The sequence below is a fragment of the Homo sapiens genome, chromosome 12 (assembly GCF_000001405.40).
Source record: "Homo sapiens chromosome 12, GRCh38.p14 Primary Assembly".
NCBI classification, from domain to species: domain Eukaryota; kingdom Metazoa; phylum Chordata; class Mammalia; order Primates; family Hominidae; genus Homo; species Homo sapiens.
This window is the reverse complement of record NC_000012.12, coordinates 10,575,897-10,587,232: the sequence shown is the minus strand read 5'-3', so window position 1 is coordinate 10,587,232 and position 11,336 is coordinate 10,575,897. Positions and strand designations below refer to the sequence as shown.

The 11,336-nt window shown below is 35.8% G+C and overlaps 1 annotated feature.

Moving 5' to 3' along the window:
- Positions 5,257 to 6,456: an enhancer, noted in NCBI's record as "BRD4-independent group 4 enhancer chr12:10733376-10734575 (GRCh37/hg19 assembly coordinates)". NCBI's record gives its function as "activates an origin of replication core promoter dependent on BRD2, P300/CBP, MED14 and CDK7 cofactors, and independent of BRD4, by STARR-seq in HCT116 cells {active_cell/tissue: HCT116}" and the evidence as "EXISTENCE:reporter gene assay evidence [ECO:0000049][PMID:35650434]".

Genomic DNA, 11,336 nt, shown 5'->3' with positions numbered 1-11,336 from the left:
CTAGCTAAGAAATCTTTGCCTTTATTAAGAGCACAGAGCTAAGAAATCTTTGCCTATAATTGCTTCTAGAAGCTTGATAGTTTTATCTTTAGCTTCTATCCATTTCAAGTTAATTTTCCTATATAAGTGAGAAAAAGTTGAGGTTCATTATTATTCCATATGGATATCCAGGTGTTTTTGCACAAGCTGTTAAAAAGACTTTCCTTTTCTTCATTGAACTACTTTGGTGCCTTTGTAGAAAATTAATTGACCTACCTGTGTGGGTCAATTTCTGGATTCTCTATTCAGTCTCAGCATTCTGTATGCCTATTCTTGTAATAGTACCATAATGTCTCAATGACTATAGCTTCATAGTAGCCCTTGAAATCAAATGTTCCAATTCTCCAAATCCATTCTCTTTTAAAAGTATACTGGCTATTCCAGGTTCTTCCATTTTCTCAAAATTTCTTCAAAAATGCCTAATGGGATTTTGGCCGGGATTGCGTTGACTCTATAGATTAATCTGAGAGAATTGACGTCTTAATAATATTGAGTGCTAGAATTAATGAACATGATTTATCTCTCATTTAGTTCTCATTTCTTTAATTTCTCTGAGCATTGTGGTACTTTTTTGGAATATATTACCCAGTTATTTTTTGTCTTTTTGAGATGGAGTCTTACTTTGTCACCCAGGCTGGAGTAGAGTGGCACCATCTCGTCTCACTGCAACCTCCACCTCTCAGGTTCAAGTGATTCTCCTGCCTCAGCCTCCCGAGTAGTTGGGACTACAGGCACACACCACCATGCCCAGCTAAATTTTTTTTTGTATTTTTAGTAGAGATGGAGTTTCACCATGTTGGCCAGGGTGGTCTCGAACTCCTGACCTCCTGTGATCCACTTGCCTTGGCCTCCCAAAGTGCTGGGATTACAGGTGTTAGCCACCGCACCTGGCTAGAATATATTACACATATTTTGTAAAATTTATTTTTTGATCATATTTTAAATGGAATTTAAAATATTTTTCAAAGTATTTGTTGTTAGTTTATAGAAATAAAATTGAGTTTGTAAATTAACCTCATATCTTATCACTTTGCTAAGTGTACTTCTTATTTCTAGCAATTTTTTTTTGTAGATTCCTTAAGAGTTTTCTTTCTATGTTCACAATCATGTCCTATAAGAATATGGAAAGTTTTACTTTTCCTTTCGTTCTTTTCTTTCTCTTGTTTCATTGTACTGGCTAGGACCTCCAGGACCATGTTAAAGAGAACTGATTCTAGTAGGCATTCGTTCCTTGTTCCCAGTCTTACAGAGAAAAGCATTTAGTTTTTCACTGTGATGTGTGAGGTCAGCTGTTGGTTTTTCACAGATTCTCTAGATCATTTTGAGGCAGTTTTCTTCTATTCTTAATATATTAACAGTTTTATCATGAATGGGAGTTGATTTTTTATACATTTTTTCTATATCGAGATAATTACATAGCCTTTCTCATTTTGTCACTTAATATGGTGAATTGCATTGATTGATTTCTGCATGTTAAACAAAACTTGCACTTCTTAGATAAATCTCATGTGGTTGCAGTATATTATATTCCTTATATGTTGCTGAACTTAATTGGGTAATTTTTAAAGGACTTTTGTGTTTATATTCATAAAAGATATTGGTCAATTTTTTTTTTTTTTTTGAGACCTAGTTTCACTCTTGTTGCCCAGGCTGGAGTGCAATGGCGCAATCTTGGCTCACCACAACCTCCACCTCCTGGGTTCAAGCAATTCTCCTGCCCAGCCTCCCGAGTAGCTGGGATTACAGGCATGTGCCACCATGCCCAGCTAAGTTTTTTGTATTTTTCGTAGAGACAAGGTTTCTCCATGTTGGTCAGGCTGGTCTCGAACTCCCGACCTCAGGTGATCTGCCCGCCTCGGCCTCCCAAAATGCTGGGATTACAGGCGTGAGCCACTGCGCCCGGCCCCAGATATTGGTCTATTTTTTAAAAATTTTTAATGTTTACAGTATAGGGAAGACACTGGTCTTATATATTCATTTGGGATATTTTTTAATATGCTTCTATTTTTGAAAGTTTTTTTTTTCAGAATTTGTATTTTTCTTTCCTTATATGTTTGATCTAATTTACCAGTGAAATAATCTAGGCCTGAGCTTTTCTCTGGGAGAATGTATTTAATTAGGAATACTATTTCTTTAACAGACAGGGCCATTTAGACGTTCTGTCTCTTCTGTCAATTTTGTTAATCTTTGTCTTTTAAGAAACTTGTTTCATTTGTCTACATTGTCAAATTTATTGGCATATTGTTCTTCATAGTCATATTAGTTTCCTAGGGCTACTGTAACAAGGTACCAGAAATTTGGTGGCTTAAAACAACAGAGATTTATTCTCTCACTGTTCTGGAGGCCAGGAGTCCAAAATTAAGGTGTTAACAGGACCACTCTCTTTCTGAGGCTCTGGATGGAGTTTTCCTTGCCTCTTCCTAGCATCCAGTGGTGGCTGTCAGTACCTGGTGTTACTGCACTTTCAGCTTCTTCCTCAATTTCTGACTCTGTCATCACATGAATTTCTCCCTGCATATCTCTGCCTTCACATGTGGTTTTCTCTTTTAATAAGGACACTAGTCATATTGGATTAGGGCCCACCCTAATGATCTCATGTTAACATGATTACATCTGCAAAACAACCCTGTTACCAAATAAGGTCACGTTCACAAGTATGGGGGTTATGATTTAAACATACATTTTTGGAGGACATAGTTCAACCCATAACAATAATACTCCTTTATTATCTATGTATTTACTGTCTGCAAGACCTGTAGTTATATTCTTTCTTTTCTGATATTGTTGTATTTATTTGTCTTCCTTGATCAGTCTAGCTAGAGATTTATATCCATTTTATTAACCTTTTCTACTTATTTTGAGTTTAACTGCTTTTATTATCTTGACTTCATAAGTGAAAGCCTCTTTTCACATATAACTATTTGAAGCTATAAATTTCCCTTCAAGTGCTATTTTCCTGCATACCACAAATTTTGTTAGGTAATTGTTTTTGGCTCATGTCTTAAAAGTATGTTGTTTAGGCGGGGTGCAGTGGCTCACACCTGTAATCCCAGCACTTTGGGAGGCCAGGGTTGGTGGAACACTTGAGGCCAGGAGTTGGAGACCAGCCTGGCCAACATGGTGAAACCCCGTCTCTACTAAAATACAAAAAAATAGCTGGACAACAGAGCAAGACTCTGTCTCAAAAAAAAAAAAAAAAAAAAGTTGCTTAATTTCCAAATATTTCAGGATTTTCCAGATACAATTTTGTTACTGATTTCTAATTTAATTTCTGTGTGTCCAGAAAATATACTATATTATTTTAGTACTTTAAAATATGTAATACTTGTTATATGTCCTAGTATATGGTCCCATCATGATAAATGTTCCATATATACTTGAAAACAATGTGCGTTTTGCTCTATTGGAATGGAGTGTTCTATAAATGTCAATTGGGTGAAGGTGATTGTAGCTTTGTTCAGATCTTCTATTGTCCTAATGATTTTTTGGTCTAATTATCAATTATTGAAAGAATGGTTTTTAAATGTTTAAATATTATTTTTACTTGTCTACTTATCTGTTATTTTTTTTTTTTTTTTGCTTCACGTATTTTAAAGTTTTGTTCTGTCTCATCCACTAATCTATGTGTTCTACTAGACCTTAAAATTGATCTTTGTTTTTTATATGTTGTATCCACAGTGCATTAAAGGGTCTTTTCCTCAGTAGTCACTAAATAAATATTTGATGAATGAATGAATTATACCCATGGCATAGTCCTGGGAACTAAAATATCAGTTTCTTGGTACATAGTTGTTTTAGTCTGTTTGGGATGCTATAACAAAATACCATAAACTGGGTAGCTTATGAACAACAGAAATTTATTTCTTACAATTCTGGAGGCTGGGAAGTCCAAGATCAAAGTGCTAACAAATTCAGTACCTGGTGAGGGCCTGCTTTGTGCTTCACATATGCCCATCTTTGCTGTGTTCTCTAGTGGAGGAAGAGGCAAGGGAGCTCTCTAGAATCTCTTTTATAAGGACACTAATCCCATTCATGAGGGCACGAGCCCCATGACCTAATCACCTCCCAAAGTCTCTATCTCCAAATAGCATCACACTGGGGATAAGGTTTCAACAAATGAATTTTTGGGGGACATAAATATTTGGTATATAGCAGTAGAGAAGAGTTTTTCAGTGTCCATAGAAAAGAAATTCTATCATTAAAGAATTTTAATAAATTTGTAACTCAAGATTAGATTTTCTTATTTGACTAGAGTAGGATGTGGTGATGATCTCATCTCAGCATGAAACAGGAAAGGTTGAAGCGTCAAAAATGGATTAAAAAATACGCAGTGGTAATGTTTCATTTTCATCTTTGATTTTATTCATTTCGATCTTCTCTGTTTTCTTAGTCTAGCAAAAGGTTTGTTCATTTTATCTTTTCAGAAAACTAACACTTTGTTTTGTTGATCTTCTGTATTTTTTAGTCTCTATTTTTTCATTTCTGCTTTAATGTTTATGTTTCTTTTTTTAAAAAAAGTATTAAGTTCTGGGATACATGTGCAGAACATGCAGGTTTGTTACATAGGTATACATGTGCCATGGTGCTTTCCTGCACCCATCAGCCCATCATCTAGGTTTTAAGCCCTGTGTGCATTAGGTATTTGTCCTAAAGCTCTCCCTCCCCTTGCCCTCTACCCCGCAACAGGCCCCAGTGTGTGATGTTCCCCTCCCTAGGTCCATGTATTCTCATTGTTCAGCTCCCACTTATGAGTGAGAACATGGAATATTTGGTTTTCTGTTCCTGTGTTAGTTTGCTGAGAATGATGGTTTCCAGCTTCATCCATGCCCCTGCAAAGGACACGAACTATTCTTTTTTATGGCTGCATAGTATTCCATGGTGTGTATGTGCCACATTTTTTTTATCTTTATATGTCGTTCCTTTTAATTTTGGATTTAGTTCTTGTTTATTCTGATTCCTTGAGGTGCAATGTTTGGTTTATTTGAGATCTAATTTTTTGATGTAGGCTATAAATTTCCTTCTTAGAACTCCTTTTATTGTATCCCATAGGTTTTGATATATTGTGTTTCCATTTTTGTTTGTCCCACTATATTTTTAATTTCCTTTTAAATATATTTATTGACCCATTTGTTCTTCAAGTTCCTCCTGTTACTAATTTCTACTTTTATTATATTATGGTCAGAAAAGACACTTGATATGATTTTGATATTTAAAAGAAATTGTTGAGACCTGTTTTGTGTTCTAACATATAATACATCCTGGAGAAAGTTCCAAGTGCTAATGAGAAGAATGTGTATTCTGCAGCTGTTGGTTGGACTGTTTTGTAAATATCTGTTAGGTCCATTTGATCTAGAGTACAGTTTAAACCTGATGGGTTTATTTTGGTTGATTTTCTGCGTGGATGATCTGTCCATTTTAGGAAGTGGGATGTTGAAGTCTGCTACTATTATTGTATTACAGTCTATCTCTCCCTTTGGATCTAATAATATTTGCTTTATATATTTAGGTGTTCCACTGTTTAGTGCATATATATAGTTGTTTCTCAGTATCACTGGGGAATTGTTTCCAGAAATCCTTGTGTGTCCAGAATTGGTACCTTCCAGTGGGTTCTTGGTCTCGCTGACTTCAAGAATGAAGCCATGGACCCTCGTGGTGAGTGTAACAGTTCTTAAAGATGGTCTGTCCGGAGTTTGTTCCTTCAGATGTTCAGATGTGTCTGGAGTTTCTTCCTTCCGGTGGGTTCGTGGTCTCGCTTGACTTCAGGATTGAAACCACAGAACTTCGCAGTTAGTGTTATAGCTCTTAAAGGTGGCCCATCCAGTGTTTGTTGCTCCCGGTGGGTTCGTGGTCTTGCTGACTTCAGGAGTCAAGCCGTAGACCTTCGCAGCTCATAAAGGTAATGTGGAGCCAAAGAGTGAGCAGCAGCAAGATTTATTGTGAAGAGCGAAAGAACAAATCTTCCACAGCATGGAAGGGTACCTGAGCTGGTTGCTGCTGCTGGCTATGATGGCAAGCTTTTATTCCCTATTTGGCCCTGCCCATGTCCTGCTAATTGGTCCATTTTACAGAGCACTGATTGCTCCATTTTACAGAGTGCTGATTGGTCCGTTTTTACAGAGTGCTGATTGGTGTGTTTACAAACCTTTAGCTAGACACAGAGTGCTGATTGGTGCATTTTTACAGAGTGCTGATTGGTGCATTTACAAACCTTTAGCTAGACACAGAGAGCTGATTGGTGCATTTTTACAGAGTGCTGATTGGTGCATTTACAAACCTTTAGCTAGACACAGAGAGCTGATTGGTGCATTTTTACACAGTACTGATTGGTGCGTTTCCAAACCTTTAGCTAGACACAGAGTGCTGATTGGTGCATTTTTACAGAGTACTGATTGGTGCATTTACAAACCTTTAGCTAGACACAGAGAGCTGATTGGTGCATTTTTACAGAGTGCCGATTGGTGCGTTTACAAACCTTTAGCCAGACAGAGCACTGATTGATGCGTTTTTACAGAGTGCTGATTGGTGTGTTTACAACTATTTAGGTAGACACAGAGCACTGATTGGTGTGTTTTTACAGAGTGCTGATTGGTGCGTTTACAAACCTTTAGCTAGACACAGAGCACTGATTGGTGCATTTACAAACCTTTAGGCAGACAGAAAAGTTCTCCAAGTCCCCACTCCACCCAGGAAGTCCAGCTGGCTTCACCTCTTACTTGCATCTACCAAAATTCATTGATGCTCAAGTACCTGATATAAAATGGCATAGAATTTGTATAAACTTATGTACATCCTTCTGTATGCATTAAATCATCTCTAGATTACTTATAAACATAATACAATGTAAAATATTTGGTATACTTTATTGTTTAGGGAATAATGACAATAATAAAAACTATATATATTCAGTACAGATTGGATATTTTTTTAAAAATATTTTCGTTCTGTAGTTGGTTGAGTCTGTGGATGTAGAACTCGTGAATGCAGAGGGCCAGCTGTATTTATATAATTGTTATATCCTCTTGCTGAATTGACCTCTTTATAATTACATAATGACCATTTTTGTCTCTTTTTATAGTTTTTCAATTATAGCCTAGTTAACTGATACAAATACAGCTGCTCCTGTCTTCATTTGGTCTCCACTTGGGATATCATTTTCATCCTTTTACTTCCAGTCTATTGTGTCCTTACAGGTGAAGTGCTTCTCTTACAGGTGAAGTACTTCTCTTGCAGGAAGCATAAAGTTAGGTCATTCTTTAAAAAATCAATTTAGCACTCTATATCTTTTAATTGGAGAACTTAATACATTTACATTCAGGGTTATTATTGATAGATGAGGATTTAGTCCTGACATTCTATTATTTTTATTTTCTAAGTTCTGGGATTCATGTGCAGGATGTGCAGGTTTGTTACATAGGTAAACATGTGCCATGGTGGTTTACTGCACCTATCTACCCATGACCTAGGTATTAAGCCCACCATGCATTAGCATTCTATTATTCCAAGCATCAGATTCACCTGGAAAACACAGCCTGATGAGTCTCACTTCCAGAGTTTCTAATTTTGAGAAACTGGAAACTAGTAGTAAGATCCACTGATATTGACCAGTACATACCCTTGAACTCTTCACTGGCTTGCCTGGTTACACTACCAGAACCAGCTTTGGCCACAGGCCAGCATCCCAACAGCATTTCACACTATTGTATAGGTTTTTTTTTGTTTTATTTTATTTTTTATTGACACATAATAATTGTACATATTTATGGGGTACAGTGTGATGTTTCAATACATGTATACACTGTGTAATGATCAAATCAGGAATCAGGGTAATTAGCTTATCCATATCCTCAAACATTTATCATGAATCAAGATCGGATTCACCTGGAAAACACAGCCTGATGAGTCTCACTTCCAGAGTTTCTAATTCAGTAGTATAGCATGTTAAACTGTGTCCCCCAAAAGGTAGGCTCCAGTTCTCACCCTGAAGAATGTGAACATGACCTTATTTATGACCTTATTTGGGAAAAGGGTATTTGCATATGTAATTAAGGTAAAGATCATGAGATCATGCTAGATTATGGTGGGCCTTAAGGGGTCCTTAATCTAATGATGGATGTTCTTTTAAGAGATAGGAAAAGACACAGAGACACAGAGGGGAATGCCGGGTGAAGACAGAGGAAAATATTGTAGTTATGCATCTATAAACCAAGGAAGTCCAAGAGCATGGCACTGGCATCTGGCAAGGGTCATCCCATGGTGAAGGCATTACATGGAGAGACAGCGAGAGAGAGAGAGAGAGAGAGAGAGAGAGAGAGCTTTTTTTACAACAGAACCACTCCTGAGATAACGATCTCACTCTCATGAGGGAATTAATCTATTCTTAAGATTGAGGTCCTCATGACTTTAATCAACTCTTCAAGGTCTTACCTCCCAATAATGTCACAGTGGCTATTAAATTCCAACACTGAGTTTTGGAAGGAGCATTCAAACCAAAGCACCTCTAATGGTAACATCTTGTAAAATCATGGTATAATATCACAACTTAGTTATTGACATTGATACAAATGCAGAGAGATTCTATCACAAGGCTCCCTATTATTGCCCTTTTAGAGCCACACCTGCTTCCTTTTCTCCATTCCTTGTTCCTGACTCCTTCTCTGTTTCTATAATTTTATCATTTCAAGACTGTTAAGTAAATGAAATCATACGGTCTGTGACCTCAACGTAATTTCCTGAAAATCTATACAAGTTTTTGTAGGTATCAATAATTTGTTCCTTTTATTGCCAAGTAGGTATGGATGTATCACAGTTTGATTACATTTACCTATTGAGGAATATTTTGTTGTTTTCAGGGTTTTTTGTTTTGTTTTGTTTTTTTGCTATTGCAAATAAAGCTGCTATGAACAGGAATAGACATTTTTGTGTGAACATAACATGTTTAATTTATCTGAGATAAATGCCCAAGAATGCAATTACTGAGTCCTATGGTAGTTCGTGTTTAGATTTATAAAACACTTCCAAACTGTTTTCCAAAGAGGCTGTAACATTTTGTATACCCATGAGTGATTCATTTTCTTTGCATACTGGCCATCATTTGGTGTTGTCGTTATTTTTAAATTTTATCCCTCCTGATATGTATATAGTGATGTCATTAGAATTTTTTTTTAAATAGATTACAATTTTGAGCAGTTTTAGTTTTACAGAAAAATTGAGTGGAAAGTACAGAGAGTTTCCATATACTCACTCACCCTCCTCCCAGTTTCTCCTATTAATATCTAGCATTAGTGTGGTGTATTTGTTATAATTGATGAGCTAATATTGATATGTTATTACTAAGTAAAGTTCATGGTTTATATTAGTTTCACTCTTTGTATTTTACATTCTATGGGTTTTGACAAATGCATGACATATATCTACCATTACAGTGCTGTAAAGAATAGGTTCATTGCCCTAAAAATCTCCTATGCTTCATCTATTCCTCTCCTCCTTCCTCTCTCTGAGGCCCTGGCAAACACTGATTTTTTTTTTTAACCATCTCCATAGTTTTGCCTTTTACAGAATGTCATATAGTTGGAATCATATCTTATACAGAATTTTCAGATTGGCTTATTTTACTTAGCAGCATGCATTTAAGTTTCCTCCATGACTCTATAACTTGATACCTCATTTGTTTTTTTACTGAATAATATTTCATTGTCAGGAAGTACCACGACAGGTGATCACACCTGGAGAAGGACTGTTGGTTGCTTCCAAGTTTTGGCAATTATGAATAAAGCTTCTATAAACATTCATGTGCAGGTTTTTTGTGGATTTAAACTATCACCTCATTTAAATAAATACCGAAGAGTATGATTGCTGGCTCATATTGTATGTTTATTTTTCTTTTAGCACCTGCCAAACTATCTTTCAGAGGTTGTACTATTTTGCATTCCCACCAGTCACGAATGAGAATGGAGCTGTTGCTCTACATCCTTTCCAGCATTTGGGTTGTCAGTATTTTAAGTTTTTACCATGCTAATGGGTTTGTAGTGGTATCTCATTCTTTTAATTTGCAATGGTATATGATGTTTAATGTCTTTTCATATGCTTATTTGCTATCTGTGAGGTGTCTCTCTATACCTGTTTATACTAGCTTTATAAGAGAAAAAAATCCAGAGAAAACCAAAATATTCCTCAATAGGTAATCTTTTGCCGATTAAAAATATGGTTTGTTTTGCAAATATTGTCTCCCAATCTGTGGCCTGTCTTTTACATTCTGTTAATTTGTTTAGAATTTTTGCCATAATCTTTCTTCTACTTGGAAAATAAAATTTCTTATAATTTACCTAATGTATACAAATTGGGATTTTCCTTATTTGGACATTAAAATCATATTAAATTTCACATCATATTTTTCTGCCATGATGTTGGGAATATTCAAATCCATCTGAGACTTTTTTATGATATCTTCCATTATCTTTCTAGACAGAGAATAATGGATATTTTCCTAGGTACAAAGGCAGATATGTATGTTATCATAGGCATTTGAAAATGGCAGGTGCCATGCGTTCATGCAAGTTATTATGGCAGTTACATAAAAGAGGTCTTTCAGTTTGTTACAGCAGTCATAAGACCAAATGCAGATACAAATTAAACTGAATAAAAGAAAAAAGGTTGAGCCTGAAACTGAGTTTATCCTTAATGGTAGATTCTGACTCATGATGCAAAGAGAAGAATATTGGGAATCAATAATGTGCAATAGGGTTGTTTTCCGTTTTTTTTTTTCTTTGATTTTATCTGCCTATCTTTGTCAAAATCTCAAAGTAGAATCCAGTTTTTTTACCGAAATTCCCTAAGATAATTCTGTTTTAGAAGTGATTGTTGTGTGCTTCGAATTCTCTATGCTAGATGCTGCTTGTTTCACCTATTATGTGTTCCAGCTGTGTTTCATTTGACCTGATATGCTTTATCCCGCCCATTTCTACAGCTAAAATTTTTCTATCAAGAATCAGCTGAAGTGGCATATGCTTGTACAATTAGTTTCTCACGTTTCATCCCAGCCAGAATTAACTGCCCATTCTCCTGCTGTATGAAACTCTTTGTCTTTTATTATGTCACTTTGGATTACATTAAGTAAATGTTTGTCATTTGAATTCCACTGAAAAATATTTTTTTCATACACTCGTTCACAATTTGTATAAACTTTGAACAGTTTATTTCCTCACTTAGTAGTTTGGCTTTTGTCGTGAAAGCAATACAAAATGAAACCCATTCGGTCCAGATATCTTAGAAGAGAAGTGAGCATTTAAAAAAAGAAGAAG